This window comes from Homo sapiens, chromosome 1 (genome assembly GCF_000001405.40).
Source record: "Homo sapiens chromosome 1, GRCh38.p14 Primary Assembly".
NCBI lineage: Eukaryota > Metazoa > Chordata > Mammalia > Primates > Hominidae > Homo > Homo sapiens.
The window spans coordinates 144,892,444-144,913,786 of record NC_000001.11 but is presented as its reverse complement, the minus strand read 5'-3'; the positions used below and the strand labels follow the sequence as shown (position 1 = coordinate 144,913,786).

Below are 21,343 nucleotides of genomic sequence, written 5' to 3'. Positions count from 1 at the left end.
GCATTTTTTCTTTTCTTTTCTTCCTTTGTTTTTTTTTTTTAATTCACAGAACAGGCAGTGGTGACATGCATGACAGGCATTTGGGATCAGATGTTGCTGATCCAGAAGCCTAGGTGTGGCCATTTTGTCATGGCAACTGTTAAGCAAGTAAATAGGGTAGAGTAGTCATCTGACTTATCTCCAGCGATGTTCAGTTTGTTTTGAATTTCTACTCTGTGACACTTCTGCTCTGAAGCCAAGCATAGATAGATGGTACCTTTCGTTCAACTCCCAAGTTTTCATTTCTCTCAAATGAAGTTAAGAGGTTTTTAAAATAGAAACACATCGATGTGAGCCATTTTCAGACTGGATGGGTTTCCTGAACCTTGTCTTTTTAATGCTTTACTTCTGCTCTTTTAGATCAATTTCTAAGCGCCAAGAAGAGCTATTACTCCTTTCTCCTAGCAGAGAATTCTCTAAGATAGAAAATGACACATGTAGTCATTGTATAAATTCTTTTATTTTCCTGTAAGCATCTTGACCCTCTACTATTTGCAGCTGTTTCTGGGGAGGAGTAGTTTGGATAACCAACAAACCTTGCCACTTCTTCAGTGGGACTCAAGGCAGCAGAAGAAGACTACTGTCTAAGGATCTGTTAGCTTTTACCCAGGGTCCTATGTCTCTTCATATGCTGTGCTTTAAAAAAAAAAAAAATAAGTGAAAGGGCGTAAGCTGTGTTTGAGTGAGGAAGAAAACCTTGGAACTTATTTCTCTGGTCTGCAGAGGGCCGAGCTGCTACCTCTGACTGCAGACTTAAGACAGCCCAATATTGGCCAACTACTTTACTGGCCATTGTGAGGCCATGGTCAACATAGAGCATAACATCTTCCCATTGATGTTCAAACTGAGAATTGCCTGAGTGTGGTATCCCCTGCCATAAGGTGAGCTGGAATACACCCTCATAATCTGTTAAAGGCCAAAATTAAAATGTGATGTTTTCCTCTAGTAGGCAATGGAAAGAGGGAAAAAAGAGTAGAGGCACTAGGAAGTTTCAGAGAAGTCAAAACATTCTGGTCCAAATGGAGTTTTAAGCAGAGGGAGTTTTACCCCGAGAGGACATTTGGCAATGCCTGAAGACATTTTTGATTGTCACGACTGGAGGAGTAGAAGGTGCTGCTGACATCTAATGATCTAGAGGCCAGGGGTGCTGCTAAAATCCTACAGTGCACAGGGCAGCTCCCACAACAAAGAATTATCTGACCCACAATGTCAATATAGAGACATTGAGAATCTTCTGACCCACAAGATTGAGAAATGCTGGTCTAGTGACTAGAGTCTCCTGAATTAAGCAGCCTAGATTCTACCCTGTCTTGACTACTAGCTGTATGAGCTTGAGGGATACCCCAAACCTCTATGACCTTAGTGTCTGCATACACTCCATGCACTGGTATTTCTATATCCTAGGGGGTGGAGTAGTTGGGTGAGTTATACTTCCTGAAATATTAGGCTATAGCTAAGGATCAAATAGGTTTCCAGAGTCTGTAGGCCATTAGAAAGTTCAGTGAGCCAGGCTCATGCCTGTAATCCCAGCACTTTGGGAGGCTGAGGCAGGCAGATCACGAGGTCAGGAGATCGAGACCATCCTGGCTAACACGGTGAAACCCTGTCTCTACTAAAAATACAAAAAAAAATAGCTGGGCATGGTGGCGGGTGCCTGTAGTCCCAGCTACTGGGGAGGCTGAGGCAGGAGAATGGCTTGAACCTGGGAGGCAGAGCTTGCAGTGAGCCGAGATCGTGCCACTGCACTCCAGCCTGGGCAACAGAGCGAGACTCTGTCTCAAAAAAAAAAAAAAAAAAGAAAAAGGAAAAAAAGAGAAAGTTCAGAGAATAGCCGGTCACAGTGGCTCATGCCCGTAATCCCAGCACTTTGGGAGGCTGAGGTGGGCGGATCATGAGGTCAGGAGATCGAGACCATCCTGGCTGACACGGTGAAAACCCATCTCTACTAAAAATATATTAAAAACTAGCCGGGCATGGTGGTGGGTGCCTATAGTCCCAGCTACTCAGGAGGCTGAGGCAGGAGAATGGCATGAACCCAGGAGGCAGAGCTTGCAGTGAGCCAAGATCGTGCCACTGCACTCCAGCCTGGGGGACAGAGCAAGACTCGGTCTCAAAAAAAAAAAAAAAATAGCAGTTCAGAGAATAGAATTATTTCTTCTGGAGATTAAGATAGGTTTAGGACTGGTCTGAATAAGGCACCATGGGATTACGGTGACTAACTGTCCCTCTTTGCCTAGTACTGAAGAGTTTCCTGGGACATGAAATTGTCAGTGCTGAAACTGGAAAAGTTCTAGGTTAAAAAGGGTTAATTGGTCACCTTGCATGGGAGAGTGGTTTTATCAGGTGGGAAGCTGGGCCTGTTACATGCTAGCTTTGGGAAGCTGCTTGCTGTATGCACACCTTTGAGGAGTCAAGAAGAGAACAAGGGAGAGTTTCTTAGAAGGAGCTTTCCCATTATTTGCTTGTCAGGAAGGCAGGGAAGGGCCTCTCATTTCAATGACGTTGTAGGCAATAGAAGTTATTTGGGGTCACTGGAAAAAGGAAACCAAGGATATAAGAAACCCACCCAGTTTTTTCATGTCCTTCACATCTGCTCCTAATGCCCATGAATACCTTTTTTTAGGGGACTAGTTATCCAAGGGTTGGTAATTTTAGTACCTTTGAACCTTGATGATCCAAGGAGCAGGACCCAGGTGTTCCCAAATAAAGATGCCTTTGGGCACCGGGCCCAGAATGCCGCCATGAGTGGCCAGCTGCCCCTCTGCACCTTCCTCTTTTCTGCCTGAAGGGCCTTTGATTTCCCTGACTTGGCATTCTGTGCTGGGGCCTGCTTCCCACAGCTGCTATTCAGAGAGCAATCCTAGCGAGCATTCTTCTCCACGTGTTTTCCCCCCATAATGAGCTGGCTTGTATGTAAGCCATGGCATAAGTGGTTTTCATTTTCTGACTGATGCACCGGGAATGCCTTTGAAGTCAGAACACACTGCTTCCCAAAGAACTCTGGGATTCTTTGCCTCAGTTGTACTCAGAGGTCGTGTCTGGAAAAACCCAGCAAACCCCCACAGGAAGGAGTGTACATGGAGGCACTGAAGCCAGTGTGGATTGGCTGAGTATGAAGAGTCAAGGAAGCTCTAGAATTGAGAAAAAAGAGGCTTTGGGACACTTTGGGGCTGTTGTTATTCCAGAGGCCTTATGCTTCTGTACTCCCCCTAAATTTATATCCCCTTGGCTTGGAGCATCGGCTGTGTGCTGGCAGAGCTACTTCAGACTGGTATTTAGCACCTGTTCCCTTGAAACAATGGCACTTAATAGTCCCTCAACTCTGCTTGCCTATTTGACTCTGGCACTAGGCACTAGGGAGACAAGAACAAATAAGAGATGTTTCTGACCTCAAGGCGTTTAGTTTTAATAGGGAGAGACAGAAAAGTAAAGCATCAAGTGAAAAATGAAGTGACAAGAACTCATTTACATGTCTACACAGAGGACAGGGATGAAGTCAGGCTCCTTGAAGAGATACTTGAATTGAATCTTTATTGCCAAGAACTCTTTTCTTGTTCTCTACATGTTCCCTTTTTTGTTGCATCCAACTTTTGTTTCATGATGCAGTATCGTTTTATTTCTCATTTATCTCTCCAGGGCTATTATGGATATATTGTTTTCAAACTTTTCTTCTTGTTGTATAATATTTCTTCTAAATTGCTAGTTTTGGTCTTGGTCTTTCATATTAGACATTTCCTTTAAATGCCTGGTCATTCTTAGCTGCCTATTCACATTTTAAAGTGAGGCACTAAAAGATTCTATGTCAGCTGTGGCCTTCACAGTAGGGTGTTCTAACTGGGCTGTGTCCTTGTGGAAGCCCCAACTTTAGTATTTCTAGGTCTCTTATCTTGGATGGTCAGATTGCTGAGAGATCACACTTTTGATCTCCCACTCATGTCTGGGAGCTGAGTTGTGAAGAGGCCTAGACCATCTCAAAATTTAACATAGACTTCAGCTAATCCTCCTGTTGAAGTTCAGTATACCCGTATCCTCAGCTGAACCTTGTATCCCCTAGTCCATGGACCCTCTCTAACAGAATAAACCTCTCATCTAGTCTTCCACTACAATGGGAGAGGGGATCTTGGGGCCTCACTGTTCTCAGACTTCCTTTTTTTTTTTTTTGAGATGGAGTCTCGCTCTGTTGCCCAGGCTGGAGTGCAGTGGCGTGATCTCGGCTCACTGCAAGCTCCACCTCCCAGGTTCATGCCATTCTCCTGCCTCAGCCTCCCGAGTAGCTGGGACTACAGGCACCCGCCACCACGCCCAGTTAATTTATTTTTGTATTTTTAGTAGAGACGGGGTTTCATCGTGTTAGCCAGGATGGTCTCAATCTCCTGACCTCGTGATCCGCCCACCTGGGCCTCCCAAAGTGCTGGGATTACAGGCATGAGCCACCATGCCCGGCCTGTTCTCAGACTTTCAATAGCTTATTTTGTGTTTAGCTCTACCTTCATCCCACTGCTACTTATTTCTCTTCGGGCTTCTGTGATATAAATCTGGCTGCTTCCTGGCTCACTCTGGTTTTGGTTTAGGACTCAAGTAGATGAGTTACTGCTTGCCTACCCGCTTTTCGGCTTCAGCTTCCATTCTTTTTGTTTTTCTCAATTTATACCTAAATGATAATCATTTTAGAACCTTTTTTTTCCTATTATTTTAGTGTGGCTGTCAGAGGGAGCAGAGCTAAATATGTGACTTCAGTGTTTAGTTTTTCAAAGTAAAGTGGAATGTTCTTTGCAGAACTGAGAATTTAGACTTTTCAGTTTTTCCCCATAGTTTGCATTTGCCTATCTATATATAGATAGAAGTATGTATATGTATATCTTTATGTATACATATCTATATATACATATATGAGTAGCTATATGTCTAAGACATAGATATATAGATATACATATATTTACATATGTATATGTACATAGATATATATATCTAAGTCCTATCTTGGCTTTCTCTAAGTCCTATCTTGACTATAAATATATATTTATAAATATATATTTAACATGTATATCTGTATCTATATACATTTCTAAGTCCTGTCTTGACTTTCCTATTTTTTCAATTGTTTTTGCATCACTTATTTAAGCTTCAGCTTCTAGGTACCTCAGTTTTCTCTTGAGCTGGAAGGCACTAATAAAGCTTCTCCAGTATTTACCCAGAAGAGAGATTCAGTGTCATTCAGTCATTTGGGCAACCACTTTGTAAAACTACCATTGTGTATATGACATATTTCTCCACTGTGAGAAGAAAACACAAAAGAAGTAGAGCTTAGCGTGAAGAATGTATAGTTTCTTAGGCAAAGTAGCGTTTTACTCTCTTTTAACAAGAAAGTTCTTTAAGTTTTTTAGGGGAAAGTAACATTGTAAATTGTTGATTTTTGTTACTTCATTTGTTGACTTGGTAGTGCTATTCTTTGACCTCTTTTTTATCTCATGTTTATTCATAACGTTTTCTCTTTATCATGCACCTTCATGAAATAGGAAATCACTTTCAAAAAGAAAAAAAGCACTCACTTTTGTAACTTCTCACTAAGCTTTTGAATCCCATGGTCAGATTCAGGTGGAAAAAGAGAAAAAAAAGAGGAGCCTCCTATCTACACTTCTTCAGCTGAGATAACAGATGCCTCTTTTCCACTTCTTAGTTAACCTGGAAAGCTGGGGGTCTGTTCGAATTACTTAGAAAGGCTTTTAAACGCCATTAGTTGTTAAGTATTTTTTCTTCTGTATAGAAAATATGAAGAGTATTATCCTGGTAAAATTTACGGGAAGTAGTGTTAGGTTCAGAATGAGGTGAAACTGATTTAAAACATTCTGCATTCAAAATGAGACATAATTTAGACTCTAATGTACTTTGATTTTGTCAGTGTCCCAGTATTCTTTATTCTTTCGTCTGCCTCTAGCTGATCGTAGGGGCTAGATTAGTATACCCACAAAGTCTTTCTAAGCTAGATTTTCTCAACGTCAGCACCATTGACATTTGGGCCAGATAATTAATTGTTGTGGGGGCCGTCCTGTGCATGGGATGTTCAGCAGCATCCCTGACCTCTAACTACTAGATGCCAGTAGCAATCCCCAAGTTGTGACAATCAAAAATATTTCCAGACACTGCCACATTTCCCCTGGGGGCCAAAATAGCCCCAGGTTGAGACACTTCTCTAACTCAGGTTCATACACGGAACCAGTTTCTCTTTTCAGGAATATCTTGACCATATTTAACCTTTCCTCCCAACCAGTTCAGCTCCAGTCCTATCCAGAGGAGAGTCGGTGTTGCTTAATGGCTAAGAATGTGGTCTTTGGAGTCTGACAGACCTGGGTTTGAATCCTGATTCCACCATTTACTCATTGTATGACCTTGGGTATGATAGTTAATCTCTCTGAGCCTTATTTCCTTATCTTTAGAAATAGAAATAATAACAGTGTCTTTCACAGAGTTATTGTAAGAATTAAATGAGGTAATGTACGTAAAGCCCATGGTACACAATGTTTATTAAGTGGTAGATATTAATAATAATATTGTACCTTTGCACTCCTGTGTTACACACACACATGCACACACACACACACACACACACACGCACACACACACCCAACTTCTACTCTCTAATTCTCCCTCTCAAAGAAATCTTATGGCATCACACTTTCAGCACTCGTGAACTCCCTGTGTGGAAACAGAAAGTTCCCACAGAGTAGAGCAGGCACTAGGTGGCTGGAAGTAGTATGTTTAGTAGGATTGGAAACAAGCTTGAGTTCTAGGCTTCCTGGCTTCCCTGTTAAGAGAAAGGATTGGACTCCTAGATGGTTGCTTTGATGGAAAATCATCCTTCACCTTTTATACTACTTCCCTCCTGTGGCAATTCCAGTTATACTTGATATGGATTTTATTCCTTCCCAGACTCTTACCTGAATTGTTTTGAAGGCTTACAGTCTTCATAGGGTTGTTGTCTAGATTGTGGAATTGTCCTAAGGATGAAATGAGAAAATGTGTTGTGTGGTACTTGGCATAAAGCCAGGAATATACTAAGTGCTCAGTAAATGATAACTGGCATTGCAATTGCTGCTGCTGCTTTAGTTGCTGTGAGAGGGTGTTTGATCTGGATAAAGCAGAACAGACAGATCCCCAGAATGCCAGGCCAGTAAAAGGAGCTTTTGGAAGCTTTTCCTCTTCCCTATTTTATATCTGAAAGGTAACAGAAAGCATAGGCTACTCCATAGGCTGCACTGCCCTCTTCGGGGTTCCTGACCAGCCCAGAAAGGCTTTGCCCTTGGGGCCTGAGAGTGGTGGTGTTGTTTCCCATCTACTCAGTATTATGAGGTGACTAAGTGATAGAAATCACCTGGCCAATATTAAAGAGAAGTGATTACAAATGATAATGAATAGAAATAAATAATACATGATGGATAGACATTAAGTTATTTCAATAAGAGGAAATGTTGGCTCAGTTCACATATTGCTTTCCTGTGCTTTGGAGTGGTCTTTAATCTGTGTTTGCTGAACCAAACACTTCTGGATTTTTCCCTTAGGGGTGTGAGGATATTGCTTCATGGGGGAGAGCTCCAGCTGAGTCTGTTAGTCTGTAAAGCAGAGAAATGACACCCTTGGCTTGACCTCTGGGGGTGGGGGTGGGCGATGTCTTGCAGGTCATGAAGACATATCACATGTACAATGCCGACAGCATCAGTGCTCAGAGCAAACTAAAGGAGGCGGAGAAGCAGGAGGAGAAGCAAATTGGTAAATCGGTAAAGCAGGAGGACCGGCAGACCCCACGCTCCCCTGACTCCACGGCCAACGTTCGCATTGAGGAGAAACATGTCCGGAGGAGCTCAGTGAAGAAGATTGAGAAGATGAAGGAGAAGGTATGTAGGCTCCCACAGCTGTAGATGCTGGGAAGCAACATTCGGTAAGGCATGGCTGATAGGAATTTCCCAACAGTCACTGGGAAGAGCAGACGAGGAAGCTCTGGGTTCTTTTAGTGCCTAATGACTGAAAATGAGGCCTTGCTCTGTGCCCTGGCAGGAATACTAGGTATTGGAAGAACTGGGCACGTGGGTTCCAAGTTTCTAGCCTCTAGCAGAAAACCAAGAAACAGCAGTCACCTTTCCCAATCCATTTTCCAAATAGAGCTCAATATCCTATTGCTTTGGAGGGGTTGGGGGTGACTGTAAACCCAGGATTTGGTTTCAGGTATCAGGTGTTCAGGGGCAAGAGTAGTGGTACCTCCTTCAGAGTGGCATTGCAAGAATGAAGAATGATATTTGAAGATAGAATCAAAGTGGGGCACACATCTTAAGTAGGGAGCCTCATTAACCTTTCCTGAATTGATCTACATTGTGCCCTTGAATCTCATTAAACAGAATTAGAACCCAATTTAAGGCAGATGCGCATAGGGAGTAGCAACACAATTGTAGTTCTTGAATACACTGTACTTTTATCTTTTAGAGAACAAGCCCCCCTTAAAAAAAAAAGGTAAAAGTGAACTTCTGTTTCCTTTTCAGCGCCAAGCCAAGTACACGGAGAATAAGCTGAAGGCCATCAAAGCCCGGAATGAGTACTTGCTGGCTTTGGAGGCAACCAATGCATCTGTCTTCAAGTACTACATCCATGACCTATCTGACCTTATTGATGTAAGTGCTTAAAGCCAAGGGCCTGAGGGCACCTCTTTTCTGGTTTCAGAATACTCGTCAGACATTCCCTGATACTATTGTTCAGGAATCTGGTGCATTTTGAGAACAATTAGGAAGATAGCAGCCATGATCCAACAGGGTGCTTGCCAAGCACCAAGTGAAACACTTCACACTTATTCAATCCTAACTGGAATTCTGGGAGGAAGGCATTATTATCTATATTTTTACAGATTAACAGAGAGTTTAGATGACTTAGTCAGAGTCAGTTAACAAATGACAGAGGCAAAATTTGCACCTAGGCCTGATGACTCAACCCAGGCTCATAACCACTACACTCGTCTATCTGCCAGGAAATACTTTCTTCCTTTTTTTTTTTTTTTTTTTTTTTTTTTGAGATAGAGTCTTGCTTTGTCCCCCAGGCTGGAGTGCAGTGGTGCAATCTTGGCTCACTGCAACCTCCATCTCCCAGGTTCAAGCAATTGTCCTACCTCAGCCTCCCCAGTAACTGGGACTACAGGCATGCATCACCATGCCCAGCTAATTTTTGTATTTTTAGTAGAGATGGGGTTTCACCATGTTAGTGAAGCTGATCTGGAACTCCTCACCTCAGGTGACCTGACCTCAGGTGATCCACCTGCCTCGACTTCCCAAAGTGCTAGGATTACAGGTGTGAGCCACTGCACCCGACCTAGGAAATACTTTATTACATCAGCTTCTCTTGCACAGAAGTGAGTGGCAAGAACTTAACTAAAGAGTTACAATGCCATCCCTTATATTTGTATAGCATTTAAGGTTTCTCGGTGTTAACTCATTTGACTCTCACATCACCATTATGGGTAAGCATTGCTGTCTCCAGTTGCTAGATAAGGAAGCTCAAGGTCCAGAGGACTACGAGACTCACTTGTCCAAGGTTATGCGCAAATTAGGGTCCTGTCAGGAAGGTATCCAGCTCCCCCTGACATCTGGCCCATTTTTAAAAATATGTGATGCAAAGGGGATTGAGGAAAGCGGTTAATAGGCACATGTGTTTTGCAAGGGGCAAGCGCAGGGATAAGCTTTTTGTTTTTTGCCTGTGAGTTATTCTTGGCCTTGTTTTTCCTGCTGCTTCCCCTTACAGTTGGGTCTTACAAGCCCTCTCACCTACAGACTCCAATCTGGCCCAGGTCCTGAGCCACACCTAAGTGAAGCTATGTAATTACACCCTTTCTCACCTCTCCTTCCAGTCATCAAAGTGAGGCATCTGGAGCCAGCCAATTTAGCATCCCAGTCTCTGGGGCTTCAAGTGTATCTCATCTTGGAGGCCTGCCATTTGTTTCAGGGTCTTGTTGGCAGCAGTTGGGCTTTGCAAAACTCTGGCCCGACCACTCTTGCTTTCCTGCCTTGGTTTCTCCACAAGCAAACCTGCCACACCTCACAACATCATATGGGATTTGGGTCCGAGTCTTGCTGTTATATCACCACCTGGGTCATCTAGGCTTGTCACTGAATTGTTCTGGAACCCAGCTTTGTTTCTCACCCACTCCCAAGCTCCTCTAGCTAACTGAAGAACTGGACTAATTCCCTGGTATTAAAATCTGGCCTCACGTAAGAGTTGCTTGGGGAACTTCTCTAAAATACAGATTCCTGTCTCCCTTTAGCCGAGGATTTTTGATTCAGTAGATTTCAGCCACTTAATGCCCTAGGTGTCATTGTCTCACTGGGTTAGTAGAGCCTTGCTCCCTGTTCTGGTACCTCTTTGTTCTCTCTGCTTGTTGATGACAATCTGAACACTGTCCTTCAATGGAGGTCAAAGCCCTAAACAAGATCCTTTCTCCTCCTCAGGGGAAGAGCTCCTCATTGTTGGGAGAGAGGCCTGTTCTCAGCATAAGGAAGAGAATCCATTCTTTCTTATGCACAATTTCTGCTATTTATCTCGCATTTGGTAAAAATTCAGACTGTGCTGTCTGCCACACCGCTGCTATTGGTTAGCCCTCTTCTCTTTTTTTGTACTCAAGGCAACTTCCCTACCTTTTTCACCAAAATACTGATCTCAGGGGAAGGGAGGGGTTACTGCTGTATCAGCCACAACCTTTGCAATCCATAGATTCTCCATCAGGTATAACCAAGCGTTTTAAAATCAGTCCAAGAAGCGAGGTATTTTGTACCTTATTTTCATCATTTAAAAAAAAAAAACGTCTGCTAAGAGCCTAATTTCACAGGATGTGGTGTGACATGCCATTGAAAAAGAGGCTGCCTTAGTACTTGGCAGGGTGTGGGTCTAGATCACTGGGATCAAAAGGCTACATAGGTAGTAATAAAGTTTCTCATGTTTCTTTTTTTTTTTTTTTTTGAGAAGGAGTCTCTCTCTGTCGCCCAGGCTGGAGTACGGTGGTGCGATCTCGGCTCACTGCAAGCTCCGCCTCCCAGGTTCACGCCATTCTCCTGCCTCAGCCTCCCGAGTAGCTGGGACTACAGGCACCCGCCACCACGCCCAGCTAATTTTTTGTATTTTTTTAGTAGAGACGGGTTTTCACTGTGTTAGCCAGGATGGTCTCGATCTCCTGACCTCGTGATCCGCCTGCCTCAGCCTCGTTTCTTTGCTGCTGTTTTGGTTGTGTCTTGTTTTAGTTTGTTGGTTGGTTGGGTTTTTGTTGTTTTTCCTGGGATATGGACACATTCATTATTTTTTTTAAAGTTGTATTATTCTGCTCTATAAATGTTCAGTAAATATTTATTTAGGGAGAAGCCACGTGCTCAGTATTGGGGTAAAAATGGATTATAGTAGTTCTCACCCTAGAGGTAGTCATAGGCTGTAAGACAACATTTTTCAAACCATTGGTCAGATCCCTTAAGAAAGTCAGGAAATCACTTTTATTGGTTTAACCTGTGTTTTCAGATGACTAGATGAGACTAGAATAAGAAAGAAAATATTAGAGTACATCACATTGGTAAGATTATGTGAAACTTTTATGTTAGATATGTATGTACACACTTGTACATCCTATGGGGGAGTGTGTGACAATAGAAGATGTGTTTCTTATTGTGAGTTGGGAGTCAAAAAAGTGTTTGTGAGCCATTGTACTATGAACAGAGGAAGATCTCAGTCTCATCTGTTAAGTTCTGTGAGAGCAGGAACCAAGAGTTTTCTTTACCTTAGTAGCCTCCAGTGCTTAATATATAGCTGAGCACATAGTGTGTTTACTGAAGGAAGAAAGGAATAGAAAGAGGAGGAAGATGATCATCTAAGCTAAGATCGGTTTTTCTTTTTGTACCTTTCAATATGGTTTTGAAGTATAATTTACATACAGTAACTAAACTTAAGTGTTACAGTTTCAAGAGTTTTGACAAATTTGTACATCTTTGTAATCTATGTCAAGATATAGAATAAATATTTTGATAAGAGATATCTTTCCATTGCCTCAGAAAGTTTCTCTTGTCTCTTCCCAGCCAGTCCCCCACCCCAAGGCAACCACTGTTATGATTTCTTTCACCATAAATTAGTTTTGCCCGTTGTAGAACTTCACAAAGATGGGATTATCCTTTTTTGTGTCTGGCATCTTTTGCCAACATGATGTTTTTGAATTTCATCCATGTTGTTTGCATGTATCGGTAGTGTCTTTCTTTTTCTTGCTGACCTATGAGATAAAAAGGGCCAAAAGGATGCAGTTAGAGCAGGACTAAGTGAGGAGCCTGGGATATTGGCATCCTGATCTTAACATTATTCATTACTTGCTTTAAGACATGGGATGAATCCTGTTGCAGTCCATTGCCATCTGTGTCATGTACAGCCTTCTGCCTCCTTCCTAGTGGTTCTGAAGCCAAATGTGTGCATAAGGCATTGAGGATAAGTGAAAAGAAGTTATTTTTGTTGATGCCATTACATTGACCAAGGACTAGCCTCCGACTTCTTTTTATAGTATAGTGCAAGATTTAAACTTCAGACTGTAGGAATCCACGTGAGGCATCTGCCACACTGGGGAAACCTTGACTTCAGGCCAAAAAGACGTTCTGAGCTCATTTGATGGCATCTAAGAACGGTAGGCTCACTGGAATGTAATTTTCCTCCCCCATACTCTTCTGGCTCTCTCAACCCAGGAGCAGATGGATGAATGAAGAACAGGGCATTGTCCTCATGCATAGCTGGAGTGTTGTAAGTGCCGTGTACATGTATGGAAGGTCTGTGACACCATGTGCACCCAAGTCGGACATGAGGGAACTTGGCTGTTTCAGTAAGAAATGTCATTAAGGGCAGTTATTTTTCTCTTTTGTGTGAACTTGAAGTGGGTGTTGTGAAACACCCATTTTTCCTTTCCAGGCCTTGTGGAGTCTCTGGGTGAAGATATCAGCTGGGAAAGGGTTAATGAGCTATCAACTCAAGTCATCATACATCTGGATGGGCTGTCATTAACTTCTTACAAAAATTTGATTTCCCCTGAGAGATTTTTCATCAAACATTTATATAACCCAGAAATGGCCAGGGGAGTCCAGCGTGGCCACAGAACTCATCAGAAGCCATGGAAAGCCTGCTTTGTCCCCACTGTGAGCAAAATAATGTGCTTCCTGTACTTATTGGGATTCTTCTTGGAACAGGATGAAATATTCAAATCTCATTTACCCAACCTTGCCAGATATTGCTTCTTCGCTGAAGGCTCGGTTTCTGGCTGTTTCCCCTACAGGTATATAGATAGTCAAGACTCTGGAGAACCTCTTCCGAATCTGCCTGGTTGGCTAGAGGTGTAGAGGAGCCAGGGGCACATTGTGACTCAGACCCTCACTCATTGGCACAAAGAAGCTACAGAATAGTTATATAAACAGAGGCAGTGCGCCAGCCTGGGAAAACTCCCAGCCTCCCTTTGGCCATAGAGTAAGCAAAACAAATGGCTTCACTGGCCCCATCTACCCACTTGACTTAGGTCAGTATTCAGCCTAAATGTTTTATTTCCTGAGAGGCTGGAATCTGTATTTGTGGTATCAATCAGTCAACTGAAATTTATTAAATGCCTGCTGTGAGCAAGGCCTAATGCTGAGGGATGTAAAGAAGAGTGAGAAGCTAGTCTGGTTGGGGTGATATGACATGGCAAGTCATAGAATGAAGAAGCGTATTCCTTGTCATATGAAAGCTGCAGATTAGTGTGGTTCTAAGTAGAGGCCAGGGTCACTGGAGTCTAGGATTGCAGGGTTGGCTGGCTTCCCAGAGGCTAAGAATTTAATTTGGATCTTGAAGATCTGGTCCAATTCCAACAGGTGAGAGGCATAGGAAACATTTAAGGAAAAGGACATTCTGGGAGCTGAAGGGCAGAGGTCAGTGGATTTGGAGCTATATTAGTATTTTTTTAAAGTGTCTACATGGTACCAAATATCTGTAAATATATTGCCTGTTAGCCTACAACAACCTGTGTGGCTGGTGTTATCCTCATTTGAGGCCCAGAAGGATTAAGTAGCTTGCTTATGGCCATATAGCTGATTTGAAGACTAATACTCTACCCTAAACAGAGAGTATCTCATTGGATTAGAGCAGATGAATCTGAAGAAGAAAATAAAGGGAGTTGATGTTGGATGGGTAGATTGAAGACAGATTACAGTTTGTTCTGGCTATTGAACCTTGCTCAAATTATTTAACTTCACTGAACCTCAGCTTTCAAGCCTGGAAAATTAAGATTATACCAACCTCATTGGGGTTATTATGAGGATTAAAATGTAGAATGTATATAAAGCACTTAGCACATGGACTGACGTATAGTAAGCATACTTAGTGAAATAGAAGCATTTTTTAAATTTCAAAACTGAGGAAGGTGGATTTTACCTTGGGGAAAAAAAATGAGAGGTATTTTAGGTTCTTCAACAGGAAAGTGCCATAATTAAAGTCACAGTTTAGGACAGTGAAGCTGACGGTGAGGGTATGAATAGGGGTAGAGGTAGTAAGAATGGAGAGGAAAGGGAAATTACCAAAAACAGGTAAAAGTTTTTTGAAGGGTAACTTTTCTCTCCCAGATTCTACCCCCTGCCCACACCCCCTCCACCCACACTCATACACTCTGTGGGCCGTGTTACTTCTGTTCATTAGACTTATAGGCATAGAGCTCATCAACAGGGTCTACATAGAGCTAGTCAGGAAGGTTTACAGGTTCAAGGGCAGCCTGGTGAGACCAGCAGCATCTCCCAGAGAGCCCATGCCCGTGCAGCGTCCTAATGAGCCGCTTTTGTCTAGCTTCCATTTGCTCTTCCCTCCCAACTGAATTTAATGTCTTTCCATCCTCTGCCTCTAGTTAAGTTGTAACTGCTGTTATTCCACTGCAGCCAGGCAGCTGCCAGGGCCTGTTGGCACTGAACCCAGAGCCCAACCCAACTGATGTTCTCACTGAGCTTCTTGTCAGATGCCAGGAAAGAGGAGGCACATCATATGCCTTTTCTTCCCCAATAGTAGCTGCTTCCAGTGTGATCATGATGAGAGGAAAAGGCTGTGGGGAGAGTTAATTTGATGCTTGCTTGTGCAATGAAATGGCAATCAGGCAGATGGCCTTACTCTATGCATAGATTCTTCTTTGAGGTTTCTTCTTAGGACCCGGACCTCAGAGCTGCTTAAGCAATAGAGAGGATGATGGATGGCCAAGGAATTGGGATCTCTGGGTCTTTTGGGAGGGATGGGGAATATTATCACAGAGTTACAGAATGCCATTGCTGAAGAGGGCCTTAGGGATTACATTTAGTCCAAGGATTTTCAGACTTTTCTCTAACAGAAGAATTCTTTCTTCAAACCAAACCTTACATAGAATCCCTAAATATTAAATAGAAAAAAGAGCAGGGTTGGCTTGGTTGAAGGAGGAATAGAAGACTCCAAGTCCTAGTAGTTGGGTTGTCCTTTTACTCACTTCTCAAGGGCAGCTTCAGTGCCAGCTCTGGTCTACTGCTTGAAAGCCACTAGCCTGGCCAAATCTGTTCATTTTACTATGGAAGAAACAGGTCCAGAGAAGGGGAGTGGCTTTTCCAAGGTTGCTTGATTCTGCGCCAGTGCTTTTTTTATACAGTTGCCTCTTTTTGCATTTTGTTGTAAAAAATCAGAATCCTTTACATGGCATGAATTTTTCCAGTAACACTTTTGCGTAGAGCTTTTTAGTCTTATAAATGCTATTTCTGTAGTGCAGGGGCATCTGTTGTCAGATGCCAGGAAGGAGGAGGCATGTCAGAAACCCTAGTCTGCAGCTAAGGCCTGTCCTAGGATGTTGGGCATTGGTGGGGATGATGACCCACAGAGTCAGCTCCCCATTCTCTCCTTCTCCCATCTAGAGTTGAGCTTGCATACATTAGCTGCTGTTGCAATACTCCTGCTTTCAGAACCCTGAAATGGCCTGGCTTGGTTGCTATATAGTGATTTAACCACAGTAAGCCTCAGTGAGTGGCAGGTTGTATTTTTATTGTTGAATTTTGTTATAATGACAACCCCAGATAAACCTGAAAATGAAAGAGGATTCTCTTTAACTCTCAATTCTTCTCATGTTTATGAAATAGCGCTTAATTAAATAATGTCATTTTATCCTTATGAGTCTTCTTCCTCCTAACCACCTCACAGCCCTGTAGGGTGTGTTTAACCGTTGAATTGGGAGTCAAGAACTGAGAACTCTCACCCAGACCTTGGAAGTCGGAATGTCAGCCGTCTTTCTACTGCACAGCCAAGCCTATTGATGTGGTCAGATCTGCCCTCTGGACCACCTTCCTTTTCTGCCAAGCCTTGGGGCTGTCCATGGTGTGCTCATGTGCCTTCTCCTTCCCACAGCAGTGTTGTGACTTAGGCTACCATGCAAGTCTGAACCGGGCTCTACGCACCTTCCTCTCTGCTGAGTTAAACCTGGAACAGTCGAAGCATGAGGGTCTGGATGCCATCGAGAATGCAGTAGAAAACCTGGATGCCACCAGTGACAAGCAGCGCCTCATGGAGATGTACAACAACGTCTTCTGCCCCCCTATGAAGTTTGAGTTTCAGCCCCACATGGGGGATATGGTGAGGCCCTTTCCCTATACCCCCACCCTCAAGGGGCTTGAGTGGACTTGTCTAGATTAATTACACAGAAGGCACATTATTCTGGGGTGGGAGAGGCCTGGGCCCGGCTTTTTGTCAGGTGGGTGAGGCACATTCCCCTTATTGAGCAAACAGTTAGTGAGTGCCTGCTGTCAGACACTCGGGCTTGGGTGCAGACATGGGGGATTAAAGCCCTCGGGGAGCTTACAGTCTGGGGAATAAGGTCGCTAAGGCTTGAGGAGGGTTCGAACTATGCATAGAGAGGGGTATCCAAAGGGGCCCAGCAGGATCAAAGAAGGTGAAAAACAGCAGGTATATTCTAAAAACTACCAACAGTTCAGGATGGTGAAAGGAAAGTGAGGGAGGGGGGCGCTCCCAGTGGTGAGGCTAGAAGAAATGAGAGCTGAGGTGGGGCCACATCCTAGAGGCTTTAGTGGGGAAGCGAGGGCTAGGCAGGGAATGCTGTGATCTTTTGGCATTTGGCAGAGTTCTGAATAATCTTATTCTCCTGAAGTTAGAAGACTGTGATGAAGTGTATAGTTTTGTTTGGGTATTGAATAAAAAAGAATGGGTACCTGCAGGAAGGAAAGGAGCTAAGATGCTATCCCAAAGGCCTGATGCTGGTTGCCCAGACAGGGGAGCATGAACATGGGGGCCTTGTTTTGGACTCTTAGCCTCCAGTGACTAGAATAAAAAGGGCCTAAAAAAGCTAAAGTGAGAGGCAGGAGAAGCTCCTGGGTTTTCATTGTTCTGAATCTTTTGGTTCCACTTGTGTGGTTGTGTGTACAAGTCAGAGTGAACCTCATTCCTGTGGATAAGAGCCACCATTTCTCCTACTGGTGAAATTAGAAGGAGGTTGTATAGGGCTTATGCGATAGAAAAGATCAAGATGGACCTTTGGGTATAGTTGGCTTTAGGAGGAGGAATTTTACCAAGACACTGTTTTGCTGTCTCTGTACTACTTCCTGTGTGTTAACTCCATTCTCAGACAGGCCATTCTCCCATGGAGGCAAGGTGACTGCATTTCCAGCCTTCCCTGGTAGGTTGAAATCTAGTGGAAAGAGTCTCTGCCTCCCTCCTCAAAGCCCCCATAAAGTTTGTGTGTCTCATTGGTTTTGATTGGGTAAAGTGCTTATGCCTGGGTCCATGCAAAGCACGTGGCCTGAGTTGTGGAGTGGGAGGTTCCCCTCACCGAGGGCAGTTAGACCAAAGCTACCAAAAAAAGGAGGAGTGGACGCCGGGGACCAAAAAACAGCAACATGTGTGCTCCTCAGGAATGATGCTTCCCTTAAGATTAGCATCCAGACTCTAGAAATCCCCACTCCAGAATGACAGCTGTGGCAGTGGAACCAGAGGATTTGCTGTCATCAGTTGGCCTCTATGGAGAGTGAGATGCTGTCCTGGAGATAGAAATGTGGAGTTGGTTTCCTTCCTTTCCTTCTTGGGGAAAATCAAACCATTTACAGTTCATTTCCATTGCTGTGGCTTAGGAAATGTCAGTGTCTGAACAGATGGAGAAGTGAGATGGCAGCATGTGCAATTAGAATTGGGGGAAGGGGTGTCACCAAGCCTCAGGAAGCCCCATTCCTCACCTGCCCTGGCTTCTGGTCAAACTTGCCTTCCAAGCACCTTCTCCAGCTGTCACTGAGGTTCCTTCCCAGGGATCAGTGGAACTTGGGGACCAGCTGAGTGGAGTGATACATTTTCTGGTGTTAGTGACTGAGTTGCCTTCTGAGCCAAACAGCTTGTCTCCATAAAGGAGGAATCCAGATGCTGGGTGCTCAAGCCCCCTCCTCCCCCTGTCAGAGCCTTATTTCCATACTCCGGAGTGCAGCTGAAGTGTATTACCTTGCACCCTGGTAGCGGACCACTGCCAAAGCATGCATCATCATCAGCTCTGCTACTTCTTAAAGGAACAGGCTTGGAGGTGGTTTTTCCCTCCATGATTCCTCTCTGCTAGGTCTGGGTTACTTTAAAAATCAATAGCTCACTCTTCTGCCAGGGCCCTCCCTTTATGTAATATAGCTGATCAGTGGCTGAGCCAGGCAGGGGCCAGGACCAGTCCTGGAGCTTGTGAAGGTTCCGCATTCTAGCCTAGCCTTCATATGAGTGAAAATAAAAAGAGATGAGAGGGTGGGTCATTCTTGGCCTCTGCAGCCAGTCTATCCCCATCAGTGTGGGTTGTCTGCAGATTGTGGAGGCAACAGGAGGGAGCTGCCTGGAAGTCGTTGAACTAGGGCCAAAGATTGGGTAGCATTTTGACCGGAAGCCTTAAAATTGGCCAAGGTCCCACACTAACTGGTGTTCTGGGGTGCACAGCACATGAATTGATGCCAAGTGCTCTCAGATGTACTAGGAGGAGGTGCTTGGCTCCATTTTTGGTGCCCTCAGAGGCTGTGGGACTCTGGATGCCTGACTGGTGACATCAGGCAGCCAGAGAATTTCACTCTTGGCGCTAACCGGTTCTGGCCACTGAGCTTTCTCCATTGTGTCTGCTTATCCAAGAGTTAGAGTGAAGTCAGCTCTCTGTGGATCTGAGAGTTGGCTCAGGCCAGCCTCTCAGCTGGGGGAAGAGGTCAAGTCAGTTGGGAGCTTAAAAGCCAATGGAGGAAAAGGTCAAGTCCCAGCCCCCTCCATTTGAAGAAAGGTTTTTTCTTTTCAAGCAAGGGAATGGTCCGTGGGCATGTGAATGTGCCCACTCTTTGCTGAGGAGGAAGGAGGCCATTTCTATCCAGATGTCTCTCTGCAGGCAAGAGGCTAAAGGACGAACGGTAACAAGGTGACAGGAGCTGTCTCCACATGGGTCCTGCCTCCCAACTCTCTCAGCCTTCTGCTCCTCATCTGTCATCCAGGGGACTGTGGATGACCTCATCCCATAACCACATCTCCAATGGGAGACAGTGGAACAGCCATTCCTTCACACAGGGGAAAGCTAATTGGCAATAATCCTTGCGGGAAGGTCAGACTCCTCTCTTACAGATCTAGGGAAGGCCTGGTAAAATGATGGCTCTTTGGAAAATGCCAAGCTCCTTCAGATTCCATACCCTCTCGGGCCCTCAAGCATAGGCAACGAACTTGTTCCTGGCTTCACGCTTTCTCATTGAATCAAAGCTCTCATGCATGGCCTGGATTTGTAAACACATGCTGGCTGCCAGCAGTGGCAAGTTAGCCTCCTGACCCACTTCTCTCCTGCTTTCACTCTGGTGTATGAAGGGGGATGAGGGAGGGGCCAGAGAGGTGGCCACTTGGACCTTTGGCAGGAAATCTTCACTGTGCCAAAGCATTGTGTTTCTGGAGCCGGAGCTGCCTGAGGCACTCTTCTCCAGCCTCCTCAGCCTTCCATGGAGCTGCAGACCCTACCTAGACCTACCCCTGCCGGGCTCCAAACAGATCCCCCTACCCATTCCTTTCATGTACTGTTTGGTCCTGGAAGAGGCTCACACAAGTTGGCTTTGGGTTTTGCTTCAACATAGAAACCACGAGCCTTATACCTTGAATATGGGTAGTTTCATTGCCAGTAATGGGAACTCTGGAACTGCCAAAGGGACTGTATCCTCTTTCTGACCTGGTGTTGCTTTCTTTTGTTAGGCTTCCCAGCTCTGTGCCCAGCAGCCTGTCCAGAGTGAGCTGCTACAGAGATGCCAACAACTGCAGTCTCGCTTATCCACTCTAAAGATTGAAAACGAAGAGGTGAGTTTCTTCCTTAGGAGGCTCAAAGCCACACTCTTAGTTTCCCTGTTGAAACTTTTGCTGCTGCCCGTCTGGGAGCAGGTGGAAGGAGCATGCAGAGAATGTCCGGGCGGCCGCAAACATTTCCTAGCCAAATGTAGGCTTGGACTTTCCCCCTCTGCTACATCCTGCCCTTGAACTCCAGGAAGTTGCTCTTGCATTGCCAAAGGTTGTGCTCTATTTTGAGCTTTTGCGAAATGCTTTTTTTCCCCTCTACACATTTAATCAAAATGGCACTTGGCAGCTGTGTGAACAATATTGTGTCTCTGAAACCACCTCCTCATGCCTAGCTTTTTCCAGCATGTTCAAACAAACAGAGGCCTTTGACTTTGACACTTCAAACATCTCCATCCTCTTAGGAAAGGGTGAGTTTCTTCTGGGCTCAGTGTATTTGCTTTCAAAAAGCGGTTCAAAAGGGCGGGTGATCCAGCTTTCTGTTGAGCTCAGATGGCTTCTTACCTTGTGTCTCAGTAAGTCTTACTTTCTGCAGGAAGATCAGGAAGAAGTAGGGATAGGTCACTTAGTTTGCAAATGAGCAAACAAGTTCATCAGTTTGTTGAAGGTCATGAAACAGAACCTGGGGCTTTGCAGTACTAGGCCCATCACACATTTTAATTAGCTGTTTGTATGAGGGGGTTGGTTTAGATTTATTTTATTCTCTTTCCCTTAAAACTTCTATTACAATATTGTTATATAATATTATAATAATGCTAATATTAAATTTTAAAAGTAAACATTAAAAGATCTGGGTCAAGTACATAGCATGAAGGGTTGTAGTGGCTTTTAGGTTTTCACTGTAGAGAGTAGCATGCTGTAGCAGAGTCCATGTGATGTTTACCTCTCACTTAGCACTGTCCAGTGGGAAGCAGAGCTGCACACTCTGATGGCATCCTGTGGCCTTCCCCAGCCCACTCTCTTCAAGCTT

At 44.3% G+C, this 21,343-nt stretch overlaps 1 protein-coding gene across 12 annotated transcripts in view; it reads left to right on the top strand.

Annotated features, from left to right (window-relative positions):
- The window catches only part of SRGAP2B (SLIT-ROBO Rho GTPase activating protein 2B), a 208,093-nt gene that overhangs the window by 181,594 nt on the left and 5,156 nt on the right, over positions 1-21,343 (top strand). For 8 of the 12 annotated variants that reach the window (XM_005277421.5, NM_001385227.1, NM_001368324.2 and 5 more), the window contains 4 exons: positions 7,713-7,928; positions 8,568-8,696; positions 16,447-16,671; positions 20,278-20,379. In XM_005277421.5, the coding sequence (XP_005277478.1) occupies positions 7,713-7,928; positions 8,568-8,696; positions 16,447-16,671; positions 20,278-20,379 (672 nt within the window). The other 4 variants (NM_001366280.2, NM_001330684.2, XM_047428008.1 and 1 more) reach the window with 2 other exon arrangements.